The sequence below is a fragment of the Homo sapiens genome, chromosome 10 (assembly GCF_000001405.40).
Source record: "Homo sapiens chromosome 10, GRCh38.p14 Primary Assembly".
Taxonomy (NCBI): domain Eukaryota; kingdom Metazoa; phylum Chordata; class Mammalia; order Primates; family Hominidae; genus Homo; species Homo sapiens.
The window spans coordinates 66,346,907-66,370,861 of NC_000010.11; the positions used below are offsets into that span (position 1 = coordinate 66,346,907).

Below are 23,955 nucleotides of genomic sequence, written 5' to 3' on the forward strand. Positions count from 1 at the left end.
ATTATACTTGGGACCCTGGAATGGGGCTAATGTGGTCTGAGATCTGCAGATGTGAATATAAATCTTCGGTAGAAAAAAAAAATGCCTCACAAAAAGCAGCAAACAACAAATATCAGATTTACATCCTGAAAAAAATTCATGTACTAGAGTGATCTAATATAGTATTTCTCTTTCTTTGTCTATAGATAGAGATATGGAATCATAAAATCAGAAAACAAAAATAATCATCAGGCAAATTCAATAAATAGTAGAAAAAAATATACATGTCATTTCCTATGGGCCAAACATTTTATAAGTTTCAATACATTAAATGATTTAATTCTCTAGTTATTGTCTAAGGTAATAACAATTTCCATATTTCCATTTTATTTATGAAAAGATTGAAATTAAAGGAAGTTTTATGTCTTATTAAGAGCCAAACAGGCTGGATGCCATGGCTCACACCTGTAATCCAAGCACTTTGGGAGGCCAAGGCGGGAAGATTGCTTGAGGCCAGGAGTTCAAGACCAGCTGGGGCAAGATTTTTGTGAGATTCCGTCTCTACAAAACATTTTAAAAATGAGTCAGGTATGGTGGCCACATCTGCGGTTCCAGCTATTCAGGAGGCTTAGGTAGGAGGATTGCTTGAGCCCAGAAGGTAGAGGCCACAGTAAGCTGTGATCCTGCCACTGTACTCTTGCCTGAGTGACAGAGTGAGAACCTATCTTAAAAAAAAAAGCAGACAGCAAGAATCTACCAAATATCTAAAATTGAAGAAATATATATGTTTAAAAAAAGTTAACAAATGGATGAATCATCATATCATACACAACTGAAGAAAAGATTAGTGAATTGGAAAAGTTATCTGCAGAAATTATCTGGATTACAGTACAGTGAAACAAAGGCCTGGAAATACATAAATCTGAATAAAGAATATGGTGGATAGAATGAGACTACCCATCATGTATACTGTCACATGCTCAGGACGAGATAATCGAGATAATAGAATAAATGACATATTTGAATAGAAAATAGCTAGGAACTTTCTGAAACTTGTTAGAGACATGAGTTCACAAACAGGAGGCAATGATATATACCTCCAAAACAGTATAAATAAAAATGAATCCGCACTTAGACACACCTTAGTGAAACTACAGAATAACAAAGACAAAAAACAACCTTAAGAATACTAAGAATACCAAATCATGAAAGACAATCAGGTTGGCATCAGATTCAGAAAGGAATCCTGACTCTTAAGCCTCTTCTCTTCCTGTCTACTCTTTCTTCAGTCTTTCTTGCAAAAATGAAACACAATAACTTCATCTTAGATAAAATATGATGTTAGCATTAATTAGTCTATATATTTTTATCAGTCTTAGAATAGTGGCTAAAAGAACAGGCTTTGAACAGCAGATTTGCATTTTGCTATCAACCCTATAATTTAATTAGCCGATTATTAGCTTAAATATAATCAATTCACATAATCCCACTGAGACTCCATTTCCTCATCTGTACAATGCATATTATTCCATGTACTGCATAGTATGGTTGTGGGATTGAGTGTGATAATGTATATACAATTTAGCATTCTTCTTGGAATGTATAAAACAATACAGGGAAACTATCAGGTTGAATCATATGAAATTATCTTGTAGGTCAAAAAAGTTGAATATCAGTCATTTCACTTGGGTCAACTTAATAGTAAATTGTGGTTTCAAGTTGAGAAAGAATCAAGTTTACTTTTAAATTCATATACAAAAAGAGACATACATTTTAATAAGGAAAAGAAGCTAGTTTACAATCAATCTTGCCTCCTACACCATTATAGTCTGTAGGTTTTACTCTACGAGTGTCCGCTTGTTGATGATGTGATGTAATCTACCAGAATCTGACTTGAATAGAATATTTAATAAGTTGATAATCATATAACTACTTTTATGATTAGACCATGTATTGGCTGCTCAAATAACAAAATTTCCTGGTGCTTCTACTGGTACCAGGGGATTTATGGTTTAGGCATAAGATTTAGGCTTGCATTTTATTGTGACTATTCTAAATATTTCTCTGATGTGTCAGGTAGTCCTTTAAGGTGGCCACCATGACCCTTTCTTCCTGAGTTTGTGACTTGTTTGTAACAAACAGAAAACGGAAAAGTTGATGGGATATATTTGATTACATGTTCGTTACTTCACAATTCGTTACATAAGATTATATTTCTTGTCCTGATGGAGTCTCTCTCTTCCTTGATGGCATTCAGAAGACAAGCAACTTTGTTGGGGAAATCATACAGCAAAACCTGTGGGCAGCCTCTAGGAGCTGACAGTGGCTTTTGGCAGATACAAAGAAGAAACTGAAGCCCTCACTCCTACAACCACAGGGAACTGAATTCCGCCAACAACCTGAATGAGCTTGAAAAAGCCTCAAATGAATCCACAGCCCTGTCTGACACCTTGATTGCTTTCTAAGACTCCAATCAGAGAACACAACTCCAATCAGAGGACACAGTAAGCCATGCCTGGATTTCTGACACACAAAAACCCACATGTGAGTATTGTTTTAAGCTGAGAACTTTGTTGAAATATTAATAGGCAACAATGATTAACAAATATACCTGGAAAATAAAGAGCTATCATCAGAGAGTGGCTCATGAAGGAAAAGAAAAAGCAGGTTATTCTTTCCAAAGCCATTCACAAATTTCACAACTACGCTAACTTTTCTATTTTGAAACAGTTGCAATCTTAAGAAAATTGAATTATCAGGATGATCTTTAAAAGTAATCATTTCCATGAGAAAAATACCCAAAGAGATTCAAAATCCAGAGAGTATGACATGTGCAGTAACAAGTTTGAGAGTTTTTTTTGTACAAGAATAATGTTGAAATAAGGTGGTTTTATGGTCATAAGTACAGTTTTTAAACTGCAACTTTACCATTAAATGGCTTAATCAAAACTAACCAAAACAAATATACTCATCATTTACTCTTCAGAATATCACATACCTAGCTTCTCAGTCACCCCATCACCAATGGCTTTGATCCTGCAGTTTTCTTTAGAGGCAGTTTACAGAGCCAAAGAAAAACAAATGAGTGGACCATTACTAATACTCTTCAACTGCACAGGAATCACATTTCCTCTATTATAGCAACGTAACACATTGGTGATATAAAGTTATATCATTCAGTGTAAAGGATTATTCTGTGATTTTTAGTATATATTGTTCTAGATAGCAGGCATAAATTGGGTACTTTGTTGAGAATCTGCTGCCCAAGTTAACTGCAATATCCTCTTTCGTTAAATACTTCAAAGTGTCTTAATTGGCTCTTCTGTGAACATTCTGGGCTACTCACTGAAAGACACATAAGACTATACATGGAAGCAAGAATCTTAGAGGAAGCATTCAGGACAGAGAAGGGAAAGGAAGCTTGCTTTTTGCTGTCACTGCCTAGGCAAATGATAGAGCTTCAATTTGCTCTGAGAAAGAGAAATTTTGATTATACTTTTTAGCATTTGTCCACAAACAAGAAGCAAAACTTAGAAATATGTTCTTTTCCCAATCAAAAATAGAATGTTGAACGAATTTATCTGAGTAAGGGCAAGAGATACATTTCCTGACTCCATAGTCAATGAACACAAAATAAATCAAAACGTAGCTCCAGAAAAAAAAAATTGGGGAAGAAATTCCCACATCTTATTGAAAAATGATGGGAAATTGGAAAGGGGCTCCTGAAAAAAAAAAAAGCCTGGAGAAATTGCTGAAGGGTCAATTGGGAAAATGCTTATTTTCCTCTTATTTCAGGGCAACACATGACAGAATCAATGTCATCTCAAGAGATTCCAGTAGCTGAATGGTTTATTTACATATTAAACACAAGTTGGAGGAATGAGTTTGGTCTTTGAGTATCCTGAATTTTACACTATTTACACATCCCCTCTTGAGGTTTTACTTAGTGTACTGTAAAGGCAAACAAAGCCTTGTCTATCCACAGAAGGACTCCTCCAGATCCTATGGGAAAGATCCAAGAGCTTTGTTAAACACCAAATAGTCTTTAAATAACAATCTTCTGATAACTTGATAGTAAACAGCCATACTTTAGTGATTTCCTAGTAAACATAAATTAATATACTATATCAGATTATTTGGAAAGATCATTATTTTCTTTGAAAATAAAACAAAAACAAAAACAAAAGTCTGTAATTTTGTGCACAGACCCAACAATCTCATTTCCCATTTATGACAGAATTCAGTGAATCATGCTTCTACAACACATTCTGCTTCAGGGCACACATCTAAAAATTAATCTTTCTGAGGATACAGTAATCATGACCACTCCGGTGTCAATTACTGTGTATGGAGAATGTACTATGTGCCAAGTGCTCTGCTATTTCATTCAATATGTAGAAGGTTATTACAACAACCCATGAGGTTGCTGTAAGTATTTCCTCTAATTTTTCAGATAAGAAGACTTGGGCTGAGAGAAGTTAAATAACTTACCTACAATATCAGAATAAAGTTGGGATTTGAATGCAGACAATCTGATTCCTGAGTACCATTGTTAAATAGCAGATATTAAAAAAAATGTGAGTCAGTGTTAGAAACTGAATAATATCATCTTACATTTATTCAGGAACATTTAACAATATGATTGCTTAATGAGATTCATAATTTTACTGCAATCAAATGCTGCAAAACTCAACTCCTGAATTAGATTTACGGTATGCTGCAAGTAGATGGTTAAAAACATGATCACATTGTAGATATTTACAAAAATAAATGAATAAAAATAAAAATTTGCACTATCATGTTTAGTAGCATGGAGAATTTGGTATGGGAAGGTCAAGACAACTTCCTAGTTTGATGAGTTTTGTAAGATATTTCCTAATTAAGTGTGTGAAATTTTCATCATGTAATATTAAAGATCTCTCATATACAATTCTGCACAAAAAGAGGTCTGAAAATCTGAATTATTTTATAGTACAAATAACACAAATGTAGTTGAAATTAGCAAATGTTTAGTGACTATTATATGCCATTAAGTATATCAATTTCACATGCATCCAAACTTTAATTTTACTGTCCAGGAGGTGACAATATATAATAATAAAAATAATAATAATTTTAAGAGTCATGAAGTAAGTACTATATGCCAGAATGAAAGGGAGAAGCACTAAAGAGATGGAAGATTTCATTCTGACTTAGTTAAGATGGATTCCTAGAGCAGATGTCACTTGGATGGGTTTTTAAATAGTAGAATTTCAACAAGCAAGCAAGAAGGTATCAAATGGAAGGAATATTTCATTATACTTAGTAGGTAACAAGGCCCCAGCAGTCAGACTGAAGACTCAAACATACATGGGCTCTTTGGGGCTACCCTCCCTCCTTGTATCTCATTTCATAAATTGATTTTCAGGCAGAGCCTCTTTAGTGGGGAAGGAACATACACAATGAACTATTGTGATCAAAACATAGACAAATGTGCATGACAAATTGGTAGAGATAGGAGGAACCAAATATTGAAGGAAGATAGAGATAGTTTTCCAAGAACATTCATAATAAAGGAAGAGGACTAGCAGTAGGAAGCAAATACAACAAATGGGGTCTGAAAGATGAAGGAAAACAGTGGTTCTCAGCACTGCATTGCGATAGGGCCTTGAACTCAGCTAAACCCATCTAGCCTAACACCATTGTATACTTTGGAGTGAAAAAGGGCTGTATAATAAATTGTGTCATTAAATGTGGCCAATAATCCTATCATGAAATTCCCCTAATTGGCACAGAGACTCTCACTTCTTAAGGTGCCATTGAGTTGTTTTAACTGTGAACATAGGGATGAAATGAAAAGAGAGAAGCAAATCACGTAAAGATACTTAACAATATAATTCCATTTTATAAATCTCAAAAATGTACAGCTACATTAGATATTATGCACTATATTCTTATCTGGCAAAACTATTTTTAAAAGAAATAACAAACAAACAAAAGCACTCATTAGTGGTTATCTTGGGGAGGCAGACTGTGGTGAAGCAGGAAGAGGAGGTCATCAACGAGGGGCACTAAAGGGGCTTCCAAAAATGAAGCAAGTTTTATTTCTCAAGCTGAGCCATAGGTAAATGGGTGATTATTTTATTATCATTATGTAATCTTTCATGTATGATATATTTCATCATAAATAAATATTGATTTTAAAGGTAGCCGGTTTTATCTTTAAATGATATATATATGCTTCTCTAATTTTGTGTCCTACTTTTTATTCCTGTATAATATACTCTGAAAACTTTCCAATTTCATTAAAAATTCCTCAGTAAAGCATTTTTAATGTTTGGAACAAAATCTATTAAAATAGAATAGATTCATGATATATATTGTTGGGTACTTTCCTAATTTTCATTGCTACAGTATCAGATTCATTTCCATTATAAAACCAGTGACTGCTTCAGGGCCCACAGAAATGGGCACAATTGTAAATTCAGTAGGCTCAAATATATATTTTTAAAAGGCTATGTTTGTACATCTTTCTTAGCCTGTTGGATGCGCAGCTCACTGTGTTGAGGCAGACATCTGTTGGTATGCACAAAAATAAAATATTGTTGTCTTGTTTTTGTATTTTTCATATCCAGAGAATCAAGTCATAGCTTTTGCCTGAGGGAGAACCTCAAGAAAAATGAACTAGTGTGACGTGTGTTTCTGCCAAGCAGAAAAGAACATGGAAGTAAACTTATCTACATAAATTAGGTCAGACAGCTGGTCCGAGTCTGCCCACTCAGCCTGCTAGGGGAGCAACCAAGCAAAAGTTAAGATTGCCAATTTGTTTCATTTTGTTTCCCTCTGGATTTCAGGAGTTGATGTAGAAAAAAAAATCAGGAAGGAGGAACTGGAGATTAATCAACCCAGGGATAGTTTTTGTAACAGGGGAAAGGGATCGCTGAGATAAATCTAGGGAGATGAAAACTGGGTTTAGAATATTTGAGGAGGCTTTTTGTTTTGTTTCACTATGCAAATGGGGAAAGAGTAAAAAAAAAAAAATTAAAAACACACAAAATCTCAAAAATGTGAATAGTGAGGAAAAATAATCATCCATATGGGAGTATCCGTGACATTTGTAAAAATTCCGTGAACACGGCCAGACGCAGCGGCTCACGCCTGTAATCCCAGCAGTTTGGGAAGCCAAGGCAGGCAGATAGCCTGATGTCAGGAGGTCGAGACCAGCCTGGCCAACATGGCAAAACCCCGTCTCTACTAAAGACACAAACAATTAGCTGGGCATGGTGGCGGGCGCCTGTAATCCCAGCTACTTGGGAGGCTGAGGCAGGGAGAATCGCTTGAACCCGGGAGGTGGAGGTTGCAGTGAGCTGAGATGGCACCATTGCCCTCCAGCCTGGGCAACAAAGTGAGACTCCATCTCAAAAATAAAAAAAAAAAGTCTATGAACACTAAAAAAAAAAATAAGAGTCCCTTGTTAGTCTGTGTCTAAAAAAGAAACTAGCACTGGCTCTTGAAACAACATCAAGGTATCAAGCTCTGCTTCCTTCTGTCTCATAAAGCACATTGTTCTGAACTACCTTGAGATATCAAAAATGTGTCCAAAAACAGTTGAAAATCTGAATTATTATAACTAAAGGGTTATCAGGCTCAAAGGAACCTGAGTTTGAGGGTGGGTCATCTATTTGCAACAAAATATTTAGAAGTAGTTGAGAATCTGTCTTTTAGAGTAAGTGGATCGTTGAAAATGCCTCCTCTTTTTGCCATCCTCTTCACTTGGGTAACGTCCTTAGCCTTTTTGGATTTAGGCTTTCACTTCATGTGCCCTGGGAAGTCATTCTAGACCTCATTCCATTAGGACCTAGACATCCATTACTCTAAGTCTGTCACTGTGGGCTCTCTCTTCCCGAACTAACTGTGAGCTCCTGAAGAATACATACTTTGTACATCATAGCATCTCACCACCCAGCATAGTGCCTGATGCATAATAATATTTGTTGAATGAAAAATCACTGAAATAGAAAGCATATGTATAAAAATGTTAGTTCTAGTGTACTGGGATTCAAAGGATCATCATGATCTACACTTATCAGTCTTAACTTGGAATTACCAGAAAGATAGGCTCAGACATCTGCAACTAATATTATTTTTAAAGAATAATCAAATATTCAGACAGGCCAGGCAGGAATACACACGCTAGACAGGCTTAATTCTGGTGTGGCGTTCATCATCAAACATACCTGAGAGTCATGACAAAGTGAGTTTGGTTAAGTAGATATACGATTTAAAAGAAATACAACTTAACTGAGAGCTCATTACTGAGTATTAGTATGTGTAAGAAACTTGCATTTAAAGGTACTCTGTGGCCTCTGTGTTTATGCCAATTTTGGTAGCAAGCCCATTTTATTGTAGGAAGTCACTATTTCATGGATCCACCATTTAACTGGGTCACATTGGGAAAATTATTTTATGCAAATCTTTAAAATGAAAATAATATTATGCTCATAGGGCTGTTACCAGGATTAAATGTAATGGCAAATGCAAATCACCTAGCAGTACCTTCGATACATTATAAACCCTCCACGAATGACGCTTCCCTCTAACCCTTGAGAACAATATGTCAGTAGCACCTACAAACATAAAATAGGATATCTCTTTTAATTGATTGTAATTTCCATTATTATGTTATTTTTGCTATGGAATAGGAAACTCTTTATTTTTGAATTTTTACACTGTTTCATATATTCTAGATGCAACATTTTTGAGGAGTATGATATGATATGCAAATATTCTTTCCCACTCTATTATGACTTTTCACTCTTTTAACAGTGCCTTTCACAGAGGATTTTTTTTAACTTCCAAGGAAATCAAATTATAATTTTTTTATGTCATTACTTGGTGTTGTATCTAACAATGCCAAACCAAAGTCACAAAAATTTATCCTATGTTTTCTTTTAAGAGTTTTCTATTGTAATTTAAAGCTGTTATCTAATTTGAGTCATTTTTTGTATATAATGTAAGGCATAAGTTGAGGTTCAATGTCTAAATTGTTCCAGCACCACTTGATGAAAAGGCTAGTCTTTCTCCACTGAATTATCTTGGCATTTCCATCAAGAATTGTTTGATTTCTGAACTTTCCAAATGACCTCATTGATCTATGTGTCTACTCTTTTGCAAATATCACTCTTAATTACTATAGTTTTATAGTGCAAGTCTCAAAATCAGGTACAGTGGATGCTCCAAATTTGTTTGCTTGTTTTGTTTTTTTTTTTTTTTTTTTGGCTATTCTGGTTCCTTTGCCTTTCCATATAAATGTATTTTTGTAATTCTTTCTTTAGAATCAGCTTATATATAGCTGGAAAAAAATTCTGCTAGGATTTTGACTGGTATTGTAACAAGTTTATAGATCAGCTTAGGAAGAATTGATATCATCATCATATTGAGTATATTCCAATAATGGAACATGATACATCACTCCATTTTTTAAGGTCTTCTTTAATTTCTTTGACTAGCGTTTTGTAGTTTCTGGCAACATATAGGTGCAGCAATTATTTTTTTTTAGATTTATACTTACGTATATCAATTTTTGAAGTTTTGGTAACTGGTATTCTTTTATAATTTTGGTTTCCAATTGTTCATTGCTAGCACGTATAAATATAATAGATCTTTGGAATTCACAATCATGTCATCTGCACATAGAAAAATTTTATTTTTTCTTTGCCAATATATATGCCTTTTATCTTTCTTTTGCCTTATTGCACTGACTAGAACCTTTAATGTAATGTTAAAAAGGACCAGTGAAATAACTAGCCTTGTCATGTTCCTGTTGTTAGGAAGAAAGCATTCATTCTTTTACTGTTAAGAATGATGTTAGCTGTGGGCTTTTTGTTGATACCTTTTATCAAATTAGGAAAGTCCCTTTCTATTTCTAATGTATAGAGAATTTTTATTATGAATAAAATTGGAAGTTCGTTGAATGCTTTTTTCTGCATCTTTGATATAATCATTTGATTTTTCCTTTTTTAGTCTGTTAATATGGTGGGTTGCAATAATTAATTTTTGAATTTTGAACGGTCCTTGCATCCTTGAGATAAACTATACTTGGTTATACAGTTATTACTCTATATTGCTGGGTTAGATTTCCTAATATTTTGTTGCAGGTTTTTGCATCTACGTTCATGAGAGATACTGGTCTGTAGTTTTGTTTTCTTCTAATGTCTTTGTTTAGTTTGATCCCTCGGGTATTACTGGCCTACTGAAATAAGTTTAGAAGTGTTCCATCTTTTTAATTTTTTGAAATTATATTTAATGTAATTCCTTACATGATGCAATGTTTAGTAGAATTAACCAGGGAAACTGTCCAGGCCTGGAGTTTTATCTCTTGAAAGCATTTAAACTGCCAATTTAATTTCTGCAACAGATAGAGGACATTCAATATGTCTCTATCTTCTTCAGTGACTTTTTTTTGACAGCTTTAAGATATAATTTACATACCATGCGAGTCACCCTTTAAAGTGTACAATTCAGTGCGTTTTGGTATATTCACAAAGTTGTGTATCTATCACCATAATCAATTTAAGAATAAGTTTATCACCCCAAAAAGAAACTCTGCGCCCTTTAGCCATCACTCTCAAATGTCCCCAGTCCCTCTAGGCAACCACTAATCTGCTTTCTGTGCTTATATATATTTTCCTATTGGAGTCTGCTATGAAATAACATTTTATATTAATGGAATCATAAAATATATAGTGTTTGACTGGCTTCTTTCACTCAGTATAATGTTTCCAAGTATTATTATACTTGGAATAATGTAGTATGTATCATACTTTATTATATAGTATGTATCAGTACTATTATACTCACTTTAGGGCTATTAATAATGATGCTATAAGTACGCATGTGTAAGTTTTTGTGTGGGTGTATGTTTTTATCTCTCTTAGGTATACAGATAGGAACTGAATTGCTGTGTCAGATAGTAACACATACGTATATTGTTTAAAAACAGTCTGACCATTTTCCAGAGAAGCTGTACTATTTTGTATTCCCACCAGCATTGTGTCCAATTTCTCCACATCTTCCCCAACACTCCTTATTGTCTGTTCAATGACATTTAAAGGTACGTGTCCTTCAAGCACTTGGTTCATTTCATCTAGTTCATTAAATGTATGTGCATAGACGTGTTTGTAGTATTTTATTATTATCCTTTTAGTGTCCATGGTTCTGTAGTGATACCCTGTTTCATTCTTGATATTAATAATTTGTATTTTCTATTTCTCTTCAGTCAACAGGGGAACTGCTGCCACCACTACCTCCAAAGTGGACTTCATTTTCAAAGGCTAGGAGAGTTAAATGAGTTTCATCCCATACCCCTAACCCCTGCTTATCTGTCCTCTGGCCTGAGAAAGTGTTTTGCTTGGAGGTTTTTTGTCCATGCTTGGTGTGCACTTCCCAGATTCAGCTTGCAGAAGAGTCTAAGCCAGGAAATATGGGGAAAAAAAGGGGAGTCCAGGGAACATATTATTGTATGGGGTTATCCTTCAAACTCTGATTTCCTCTCCAGTCTGCCATTACTTTACAGAGTCCTCCAAGATTTGCTTTAAGTATTATGTCCAATGTTGTAGTTGACATCAGTGGAAGAGTTAGGGAAAGGTATACTTACTCCATTTTTAACTTGGGTTGGTGCCACAAGCTACCCAGTCCCACGTATGACTTACTAGTCACATAAACTGCCTGACCTAGTGGGAAAATCTACTCACCTTTCTGCTCATTTTTCTTTCAAGGACACAATACTTGAAGGATAATCCTGAAACATTACAAGAACCTAAAGTATCTTTGCAATCAAAAGAAGATTAAATCAAGTTCAGTATAATTTTAGTTGTCTCTAATTACATCATAATGTAATACAAATATTTTGACATCCTTTCCAGGAAGAACATACTTTCTTTTTAAATTTAAATAATGTTTAGATTCCTACTTTTGTTCTTACATCTTCTACCTGGTCTTCTCTGACCTACAAAACTTATAAAACTTACAGTTGTATTATGCTCTAATCTATTCCTTTTTGCCCCTATTCATTTTGTTCCTTAACATATTCCTGCCTTGTTTTATAAAAGAATCCCACTATTTAATATATCCTCAACCACAGTTAAACAACTGAAAGATTTGAATCATGCTCTCCTTCTCAGCACTTAGTTTATTGGTATCCTCACAGCAAGTAAATATCAAATCAGTTTTGACTGAAGAAACAAGTAAAGTGAGCATAATCCTTCATTATATTCTCACCCTAAAATGGCAGAGGGGATAGCATTGCATCCAGACACTTATATGATGAGAAGCTGGAGACAGTTTTACAGGCTCCTCACAGGTAAATGTTGATAGATAGGAGGTCGTAAAAAGGGACAGAACAGGAAAGTTTGCACTTACTTTCAGGGATTGAAGTCTACTGTTTTCTTTTTTATTATAGAAGGAGATGGGGGTGAGTGGATGTGGATTGGTTCAGAATATGAATTATGACTTGATTAGCCTCTCATTTCATAATGGTGGATAAGAAAAAGCTGGTGATCCTAAATAAGGCCTGATAATTATCTAGGAATATCAGGAATTAATATTCTCCTACAATTATGTTATAGAGATAATTAATAAGCTAATTTCTTAAATGTTTAGTTCCAGGGTAGTACTCCAAATTTTCTACAATTTGAGTATCCTGATTTCTGGATTAAATCATTCCCAGACAATAGCATCAATTAGGAGATACATGCATACCTCTGTTCTGTTTTGCATTAAAGGTTCACATCTGTCATCCCCCCCAAACATTCATTCTTCTTGAGAGAAAGAATTATGTCTTATTTATTTTGTCTTTATTCATTATTTGATAGGTACAGTGCTTGTGCATCAGTATAGTTCAATGAAGGTTAAAGTGATCTTCTAATTGTGATGTAATTGCATGCCATTGTACCAATCATCTTACTATTTTTTTTTTTTTTTGAGATGGGTCTCCCTCTGTCATCCAGGCTGTAGTGCAGTGGCTTGATCTCTGCTCACTGCAACCTCTGCCTCCCAAGTTCAAGCTATTCTCCTGCCTAAGCCTCCTGAGTAGCTGGGATTACAGGTGCATGCCACCACACCTGGCTAATTTTTTTTTGTTTTTAGTAGAGACGGGGTTTCAGCATGTTGGTCGGGCTGGTCTCGAACTCCTGACCTCATGATCCACCCGCCTTGGCCTCCCAAAGTGCTGGGATTACAGGCATGAGCCATCGCACCTGGCCCTCATCTTACTAAATTTGTTCAGCATTTGAAAACTTTTAAAGCATTATATCTATATATAAAAACACTGAACTTTTTTTTTTTTAAACTCAGTCAATTTCTCATCCCTCTATCATGTAGCTTTACATTATTCAATATCTGTACATTGAAAATAAGGGTTTCCACGTGTTTGGGAAAGAGGAAATCTATGAATAAAAGTTACTCTCATATCTAATCATTTGTATATCTTCATTGTAGGAAAGGCAATGGCTTAAAGTGAAGTCTTCCCCATTTTTCTGTGGGAAATAGATGTTGCTCATTACTGAACAAAAACCCAGGATGTATTTGAATATGACATCTGAATTTTAGAAATTTTCCAAAGTCAATGTAGAGATAATCTAAAACAGATTATGCTGAATTTTTTGGACCAGTATGTGCTTTCCAGGTGGGACAGGGAAACAACTCTGAGGCTTACCTCTAATGTATTCTTTCCTTCTTTCTTTCTTTCTTTCTTTCTTTCTTTCTTTCTTTCTTTCTTTCTTTCTTTCTTTCTTTCTTCCTTCCTTCCTTCCTTCCTTCCTTCCTTCCTTTTCTTTCTTTCTTTCCTCCTTCCTTTCTTCCTTTCTTTCTTTCTTTCTTTCTTCCTTCCTTCCTTCCTTCCTTCCTTTTCTTTCTTTCTTTCTTCCTTCCTTCCTTCCTTCCTTCCTTCCTTCCTTTCTTTCTTTCTTTCTTTCTTTCTTTCTTTCTTTCTTTCCTTTCTCTTTCTTTTTCTTTCTTTCTTTTTTCTTTATTTCTTTCTCTCTCTCTCTCTCTTTCTTCCTTTCTGTCTCTCTCTCTCTCTGTCTCTCTCTTTCTTTCTATTATATTTTAAGAGATGGAGTCTCACTCCATCACCCCAGCTGGAGTACAGTAGTGCAATCATAGTTCATTGCATCCTTGAACTCCTGGGCTCAAGTGATCCTCCTACCTCAGCCTCCTGAGTAGCTAGGACTGCAGGCATGCACCTTCATACCCAGCTAAATTTTGAATTTTTTGTTTTTTTTTTAGTAGAAGTGAGGTCTCACTATGCTGCCCAGGCTGGTCTCGAACCCCTGGGCTCAAGCAATCTATCTGTCTCAGCCCCCTAAAGTATTGGGATTACAGGCATGAGCCACTGTGCCCAGCCATCAAATTCATAATGTTTTAAACCAACAAGAATCCTCCCCTCCCCGCCCCTCCCCTTCCTCCCTCCCTCCCTCCTTTCCTTCTTTCTTTCTTTCCTTTTCTTTTTTCCTTTCCTTTCCTTCCTTCTTCCCTTCCACTTCCACTTCCCTTCCCTTTCCTTCTTTCTTTTCTTTTCTTTCTCTCTTTCTTTATCTTTCTCTTTCTTTCTTTCTATTTTTCTTTCTCTCTCTCTCTCCTTCTTTCCCTCTCTCTGCATCTTTCTCTCTTTCTTTCTTTCTTTCTTTTTTAGAGATAGGGTCTTGTTCTGTCTCCCTGGCTGGAGTGGAGTGGCACAATCTTGGCTCACTGCAACCTTCACCTCCTGGGCTCAAGGGATCTTCCTACCTAAACCTCCCAAGTAGCTGTGACTATAGGGGTGCACCACCACACTTGGTTGATTTTCTAATTTTCTGTAGAGATGAGATCTCACTATATTGCCCAGGCTGGTCTCAAACTCCTGGGTTCAAGTAATCCTCCTTCCTCAGCCCCCCAAAGTGCTGGAATTACAGGTATGAGCCACCATGCCCAACCTAACCATTCTTTTTGAGATTAGGGTAGTCGCTTCCATCATTAACCTTTATCATCCACTTACCTTCTGTTTCTTTCTTTAATGAAGTGTTAAATTGTACCCCACCACTGCATTGAGAGAATACTTTTGAGTGAAACTTTATTAGCCTTTGTAATATCAGAAAAGATCTGTGTGACATATGCAGCTTTAACTAAAAGAAACCACTGGTTTTGCTCAAAACAGTGATATTTTCCAGCAAATATCACAGAGGTTCATACACAATTTTTTTTTTTTTTTTTTTTTTTTTGAGACGGAGTCTTGCTCTGTCACCAGGCTGGAGTGCAGTTGTGCGATCTCAGCTCACAGCAACCTCCGCCTTCTGGGTTCAAGTGATTTTCCTGCCTCAGCCTCCCAAGTAGCTGGGACTATAGGTGTGCAACACCATGCCTGGCTAAATTGTTGTATTTTAGTAGAGATGGGGTTTCACCATGTTGGCCAGGATGGTCTCAATCTCCTGACCTCATGATCCTCCCACCTCGGCCTCCCAAAGTGCTGGGATTAAAGGCATGAGCCACCATGCCCAGCCCACAAAATTATTAAAAGGTAATTTGATAGGCCAGGTGCAGTGGCGCATGCCTGTAATCCCAGCACTTTGGGAGGCCAAGGCAGGAGGATCACTTGAGATCAGGAGTTTGAGACTGGCCTGGCCAACATGCTGAAACCCTATCTCTACTAAAAAATACAAAAAATTAGCCGGGTGTGGTGGTGTATGCCAGTAGTCCCAGATACTCGGGAGGTTGAAGTGGGAGAATCACTTGAACCTGGGAGACAAAGGTTGCAGTGAGCTGAGATCCTGCCATTGCACTCCACCCTGGGCAACAGAGTGAGACTACTTCCCCCTGCCGACCAAAAAAAAAAAGGTAATTTGATAAATTGGAAGCTTTAAAGAATCCCTCAGATAGCTTTGCTCTGAGAGTTCTGTCAAATGTTTATTTTTTATACATGAAGTAGTTTTACAGACTAAGATGCTTTCAAATTTGCTTTTCACATTTAATTAAACTGTCATCTGTCATTAAGATAACTATTAATTAGATGTTCTTGATATCTTTTTAATTCTCTAAAAAAGTGACTATTTCTGAAAAGGAAAACATCTTTAAATAAATTCCTTCATTATAAACTTAGATCAGATGACTTAGTCTTTCACTATTTTTCTTTTGGTATAAAATACACGGTTTCTTCTACCATTGTATTCCTTAAGCATGTGTAATAGCGATACACTTCAACAACAGAATGAAGCTGCTAAACATTAGGCCAAAAAAATCTCCTTTGCTATATCGTGCGCTGCTTATCATTTGAATTGTTAAAAATGTCTTCTCTTCAAAATAATTTTAGTTTGAAGAAAGGACACAAAACTGGTAAACCTAGATGCTGTGGACTGAATGTTTGTGTCCCTCTCAAATTCATGTTGAAACCCTAATCCCTAATGTGATGGTATTTGGAGATGGGGCCTTTGAGAGGTAATTAGGTCATAAAGGTGGAGCCCTCATAATGGGATTAGTGCCCTTATAAGGAGAGACATTAGATAACTTGCTTCCTTTATCTTTCGGCTCTCCATCATGTAGAGACAGCAAGAAGGCAGCTGTTTGCAGGCCAGAAAGAGGGCCCTCACCAGATGCTGATGATGCTGGCACCCTGATTTGGGACTTTCAGCCTCCAGAGACTGTGAAAAATAAATCTCTATTGCTTAATCCACTACTCCATTTAATTTGTTATAGCAGCCCAAACTGACCAAGACACCAGATTACAATAAAAAAAATTAAAAACATATTAGGGGAAGTGAAAACAGCCCTGGATATAAAATTTTGTCAGAACAAAATACAAATCTCAGTATTGGTTGTTTTCTGTGATTTATGTTTTATATATTGCACATTAACATATTTCCACTTCATTCAGAAGGTAAATCACATGAAATCTAACCAAGTATTGCTTTACTATATTCCAATCCAATAATAACAACAATAATGTTAATAACTTGCTATTTATAGAACTAAGACTATGCAGCAGGCATTTCAAGAGATCTATATATGCTATTTAATGGAAATTATCACAAAACCTCTAAGAGATAAGTTTTATTGCCCTTGTTTTACAGATGACAGAACTAAGGCTTAGACTGGTTAAGTAATTTGCCTAAGATCACTTATTGTTGGTAAGTATTAGAGCTAAAATTATAATACAGCTTTTGGTTTTAATATCTACAAATATTATTTGCCTACTAAACCACAATAAACTAAATTGCTTAGTCTTTATGTACTTCTCTTTCTTTTGACAAACCTGACAAATTGTTCTTGTTATATATATATAATATATATATATAGCAAATAATTAATTTCAACCATTAGAACAATAGCAAAAACAACAATAAAATCATTTAAAATATGGACAAAATGTCCAGGTGCACTGACTCATGACTGAAATCCCAGAACTTTGGGAGGCTGAGGTGGGAGGATCACTTGAGCCCAGGAGTTTGAGACCAACTTCGGCAACACAGTGAGATCCCATCTCAATTTTTTAAAAAATTATTGAATAAAAAAATTACATCGACAAAACACCTAGTTCTCCAGGAGTAAAAATGTATAAGATTGGCAGAAAACTTCTTAAGAAATTAAAAACAACACTTTTTTATATTTTGGACATTTTTTCTTTGGTTATTTTATATTTTGGCCATTTTTTCTTTGGTTATTAAAAAGATGTAGAATTTTGACAATTTGAAAACAGCTAAATAGCAAATAAATTAATGCATTGTAGACAAATGAGTCTTAAATTTATTTCTTAAACGTTTAAGTAAAATAATGTACAGAGGAACATTGAAGATCTCCTAGTTAACCCTCTTCTAGCACTTACAGATATGGGGCCCATAGAGTTTAACGTATTTTCACAATTATATCACAGTAAATCTAAATCTAGAATTTTGGTTTTCCATATTTCCTCTGTAATGATTTCTCCACATGACCATGGCACATAAAATGATACTTATGGCAATGGTTACAGTCCTCTATGTATGTCTCTAAAATGATGAAACCATGTTGCATGAATTAGCAACGGAGAGGATTTCCTCTTCCACAGTATTCCGTACTATCAATAATCAACTCTATTAAGGATCCCTGGTAAGATGTGCATTGTATTATTCATCCATTTAATATATACATTTACTGTATGTCAGGTCCTTTGCTAATGTTTCCAGTATTAAATGTCAGGCGAGAAAACAGGGAGGGGTATAAGATATATGTGCACTAAAAATGTGTAGTCTCTCGGAACCAACCCAAATGTCCATCAATGATAGATTGGATTAAGAAAATGTGGCACATATACACCATGGAATACTATGCAGCCATAAAAAAGGATGAGTTCATGTCCTTTGCAGAGACATGGATGAAGCTGGAAACCATCATTCTCAGCAAACTATCATAAGATGAGAAAACCAAACACTGCATGTTCTCACTCATAAGTGGGAGTTGAACAATGAGAACACATGGACACAGGGAGGGGAACATCACACACCAGGACCTCTCAGGGGCTGGGGGGACTAGGGGAGGGATAACATTGGTAGAAATACCTAATGTAAGTGTTGGGTTGATGAGTGCAGCAAACCACCAGGGCACGCGTATACCTATGTAACAAAACTGCAAGTTCTGCACATGTAACCCAGAACTTAAAGTATAATAAATAAAAAATGTATAGTCTATTTGGTGACATGGGACCATATGAAGCATATCCAGAGTATAAGCCATTTAGAAGTTGTAGTAGGCAGCCTGTAACATTGTCCAGTGATATCTGCCTCCTGGTATTCATGCCCTATTCGCTTCTAACAAACTGAATACAGCAAAAGCGATGGTATGCCACTTTAGAAGTTATGTTATACAAAGATGCTGGCTTGCATCTTAGGCTCTCTCTCTCTCTCTCTCTCTCTCATCTGGATCATTCACACTGAGGTGCCATGATGTGAAAAAATATAGGCAGCATGGAGAGGTGCCCATTTAGTGAGGAACTGAAGCCTCCTGCCAACAAAAACATATGAATAAGCTTGGAAGCAGATTCTTTAGCCTCAGTTGAGACTTAGATGACTGCAGCTCTGGCCAACAGTGTGAATACAACCTCACAGGAGACCCTGACCAACACCACCTAGCTTAGCTGCTCCCAGGTTCATGACCGTCAGACATTATGAGACAGTAAATGTTTGTTGTCTTAATTTGCTAAATTTTAGGGAGATTTGCTATGCAGCATAAATAACTAATATGGAGAGGATAATGTCTGTTGCAGTTCTCAGTTTTTAAGGAGGCAGAGTAAGGAAGCTGTAATTTGGTGGGCAGCTCACACTGTTGCAGGAAAGGCCATAAAAGGCTGAGTCAGTACTCATGAGAAACGTTTGCCCATTAACTAATGAGATATAATATGCATGTCAGTTAGGTGTAATGTGTAAGTTAAACGAAATAAATCTTTAGTCACTAAGGTTTTTGAGCTTGGAAAGTTCTCTGAGAAAAAACCATGATTCAGCAATTCTGACTGCACAAATTCTATGCTATTGTCTACATATGTGTTCCCCCAAAATTCATATGTTAAAACCTATTCGCCAATGCAATAGTAGTAAGTGGTAGGACCTTTAAAAGATGAAGGTCATGATGGTTCTGCCTTCATGAACAGTTATTAGTGCCTTTTTAAAAGAGGCTTGAGGAAGCTTGTTTGTCCTTTCCACCACTTAGAACACATCATCTATGAGGGATGCATCCTCCCCAGACATTGAATCTGCTGGTGCCTTGATCTTGAATTTCTCCAGCTCCAGAACTGTGAGCAATAAATTTCTGTTGTTTATAACTTGCCCAGACTAAGATATTTTGTTATAGCAGCCTGGATGAACTGAGATGGTCTAATTATAAAAGCTTACTGAGCACCTTTTAAAAAGTAAATAAAAACAGAGCAGTTAGCAACAAAACCTAATGCAACCACTTGCTTAACTCTGTATGATTAAGGTAGATGTGTATGTGTGTATCTTTGTGTGTGTGTGTTCTAGTATCTTCAGTGGGTTTTTAAAATAAAATAAATGAGTTATAACTACAACAGTTACAGACGGTGTTGGATAATTGAAAGGGTTTGCAAAATTCTATGGAAACTACTCAAGGAAGACCTATTCAATGTAAGAAATGCAACATAGCAGAAGAAAGAATGTGCAGCCCACACACCCGGGCCTGGGAGACTTGCACACCTACCTAGAGTCCCTTCTCAGTCACACAGGATGTGCTTCATCTCTGAATTATGAATCTTCAGGATATACGTCCCACTGATCACATAGCCAAGCCATGCTATGTAACTGGTTAGCCCATGCGTAAGCCATCAATCTACACACCCCTAAACATTGTAAACAAGCTGACTCTTGGTACCAACAAGGTGATTTCAAACTTAAACAATGTATTATAAATATAAACTAGTTCAAGCCTTCTTATTGTGGCCAAAAGTCAGTGTCAGACCTCCAGGTAATCATGGAGAGTTCCAGCCCAGCTGTAAGATAACTCTTTTCCAAATGATCATTTAAAACAAAAGAAATCAATCATTGACATGTTATATATATAATACATACTATACATATATAGTTGCAACATTACATATAATACATATATTTATATATAATATTGTAAATATATAGAAACATATGCACATATGTACATATCTTTAATATATGTAATAGATATTCAAAACCAGCATAACAGATGTTTGCCATGTGACACTAAAATCTGGTTTCTTAACAATGACAAAAGAAATGACAAATATAGGAAATGAACAAATACAAAAAGTTAAGCATAAGCTGATAGCAGTGGAAGCCGAATTTTAAAATTTTGGGGTCATATAGTTAGATTCATGATATTCTAAGCCTCCTGGGTGGGGACTGGTAGAGTAATGCATTTTACAGAGGATAGCGAATTGCTTTCTTTATCATGTGACTAATTTAGTTATTCTGGTTTTCTGCATCTTTTTAAGGCTTCTTTTATAATAATAATAATAATAATAATAATAATAATTATTATTATTATTATTATTATTATTATTATTATTATTATTATTATTTTCTGGGAGCCCGCTGACTTTGTATTCTAATGTGGATCCATTGCTTTCTGGATCTGCTGGGCATCTGCCAACTTGCCATTTTATTCATTACATCTCTGGGTTAGAATCACTATTTCAGCATTCCATGTCGTCCTATTTCTGTTTTTCCCATCTCTTGTTTAGTTTGGGCACACTTTCAAGTCATTTCTCAAGAAGATCTACACAAGTTACATTTCTGAGTTCTTATGCACACAAAAAGGTTTTTATTTGACCACATAATTTGGATGAATATAGTATTCTAAGATCATGTTAATTTTCTCATGAACATGAAGCCATTGCTTCATTGCCTTGCAGAACTCAGTGTTGTGATAAGAAGTCTAACAACAGTCAAGCAGAAACTCACAGCTCCTCAGCAGAGCCCTCCTGTGCACAGTTTAGATAGAGGCTTTTGCTGCTCTCTTTCATCTATCTCCATGTTTCCAGCTGCTTTCTATCTTCTGGATCTTTTTTTTTTCCCTGTGATAATCCTACACCCATGCATTTGCCATTAAGAGTTTATTCCCTTTTGTGTTCCTTTACTGTTATTTTAACGGGATGTTAGACTGGGACTGCGTAGTTATATCTTTTCAGTTTACTCTTGTGTTAGCTTTCTAAATAGATGGAAAAGACAAAACAAAACATTGTTAGTACCTTGACTCAAAGTTATTTGATTGTAATTGTGGAGATACGGCAAATACATTAATAAATGCAAATAATGGAAAAACACTAATACCGATTTACCAACAGAAGTAGCTATTAAAGGATATATAAATAAATAACATAGGGGAGATGGCAAGAGAAGTACAATATTTTAACTTACTTCTTCTTCCCTCAAAAATAATTTCATTTTTTATCAACATCCATACTTTAATTCCTCTTTTTACATAAGCATTTTGAGGCATGTGGTAAGGGAATTTGTATAACCTTTCTTAAATCACTACAACCTACAATCAACACTAGACTTTAGAATATCTGGAATCTTAAAGAAATACTGCCAGCAGTGTTTATAATAAATGATACTTTTAAAAATCCCTATATCAGCAGAGGAATTTTATAATATAAATTGTTCATTTAACTTTAACTGCTACAGATTTTGGCAGACAGTAAAATTAAATGGTGGATGATCACCAGAATATATTACATTTTGCAAGATAGCACTGGGTTACTAATACATTTCAGGAGAAGAAATCTCTTCCCAGGTCCTTAGGCTGCTGTGTAGTATTATTAAGCAGTAATACTTTCTTTTGTAATTGATGAAAGAGGAAGCTGTAAATTACCATGAGCTAGAAATTTTGATTTGTGAAGTGAAAATATATTTCAGTAGAAATCATGGCTTGGCACACAGTGGAAACCGCTTTCCAGCTGTCTAAAGTCTCCTTGGCTTTATTCGAACTACTTCTATCCTCCCTGAGCTGGTTAACTGGACACCTGATCGATGTCCACTTGTTCTGCTCTCAGAATTGTTCTTCCAATTGTGGCTATCTTTAGAATATCCTTTCCACCTTTAGTCAAGCAATCTTTCTTCATTGATGATCTTATGATATCTAGTGTTTACAGTTTTTTTGTTTTTCTATTATACTTTAAGTTTTAGGGTACATGTGCGCAACGTGCAGGTTAGTTACACATAATTTTTTCCCAAGTGAAAGAGAGCTAAATAGAATTTACCCATGCATGATAAACAATTAATTGATTTCATTGAATAAAATATTCACATCTATTAATAAAGCTTGTAGATAACATTGTCATTTGCAAATGTTGGCCGGCTAATTTGTTTTTTTCTTAGCAACAATATGCCCTTTCAGCATTTGCTTTTACGTCCATGAAGTCTGATAGCATAAATGCAATATACCTTATTTCGGCAACAGCTATAGGTACTGCTCACCTAAGAAATGCTTAATTCTTCATTTACTAAACTTGCTCGTCTTGAAAACGTGGCAATATAATTATACCCATTGTAACCACCCCCACCCAACCAGGACTACATCTGAGGAATCACATAAAAATTGGCATGAAAGACATAGTTGGGAAGAGGGTGGGGATGAAATGGCTAAAGCTATTGTCAATTAAGTTCTGCTGCCTGCACCAATTACTTACCACCAGGGGAAATGCAATCTGATTTACACACTCGAATTCACATGGTTTATGTTCTCTCCCAAACTAGAGGAAAGAAAATCTAAGGGACATAATATCTTGGTTTATTCTCCAGCCTCAGTGACCTTGAACCTCGAATTAAGTTTTACAGATGAGTATATAAAAGTTTTATCAGCTCACATCAATAAATATATAACCAGACTTTTCTGGCTATATATAAAGACCCCTAAAAAAGTAAAATTAGCTGTCTTTGCAGCTACAGGCTATTCATACATGAAATAGATACTTGCAACAACTGAAGGGAATTGTTTCATTAGTTTCATAAATCTGATTTTTGAGATGAAATGGAAGAGAGAAGCCTTCTGCCAGTTTGTCTACATTTTTAAAAACATACACTATGTTATGGTTTATAAAACATTTTACAGTAATTATCTTTCAAAGATACTTAACTATTGGATTACTCAGTAGACAGCTATCTAGAACAGAGCTCCTAACAGCTCTGGTGAGGCATATTGGTGTGTGTTAGTGAGAGGAGCTTTCAGATCTTGAGCTCCTTAGCTCTCAAGGTAGCTGGGAAGGAGCTAAAACTGCTTGATAACTGCAGAGCCTCTGATCCCCTCGGGCCTTGAGCAGCCACTTCTTTTCTCCCAGTGGCTGTGCAAACATTATGATTTTATTTTATTTTTTTGAGAGACAGGGTCTCACTCTGTTCCCCAGGATAGAGTGCAGTGGCACATTCACAGCTCACTGAAGCCTCAAACTCCTGGGCTCAAGTGATCCTCACACCTCAACCTCCCAAGTATTTGGGACTACAGGTGTGTACC

The 23,955-nt window shown here is 35.8% G+C and overlaps 1 protein-coding gene across 8 annotated transcripts in view, besides 1 other annotated feature; it reads right to left on the bottom strand.

The window, feature by feature from the left end:
* Window positions 1–23,955, bottom strand: part of CTNNA3 (catenin alpha 3) — a 1,851,072-nt gene that overhangs the window by 434,384 nt on the left and 1,392,733 nt on the right. The gene's annotated exons all lie outside the window — the stretch shown is intronic.
* Window positions 5,020–5,189: an enhancer, noted in NCBI's record as "experimental_15354 CRE fragment used in MPRA reporter constructs". NCBI's record gives its function as "activates a minimal promoter by MPRAs in K562 erythroleukemia cells, with activity observed for the introgressed 10:68111769 variant allele {active_cell/tissue: K562}" and the evidence as "EXISTENCE:reporter gene assay evidence [ECO:0000049][PMID:34662402]".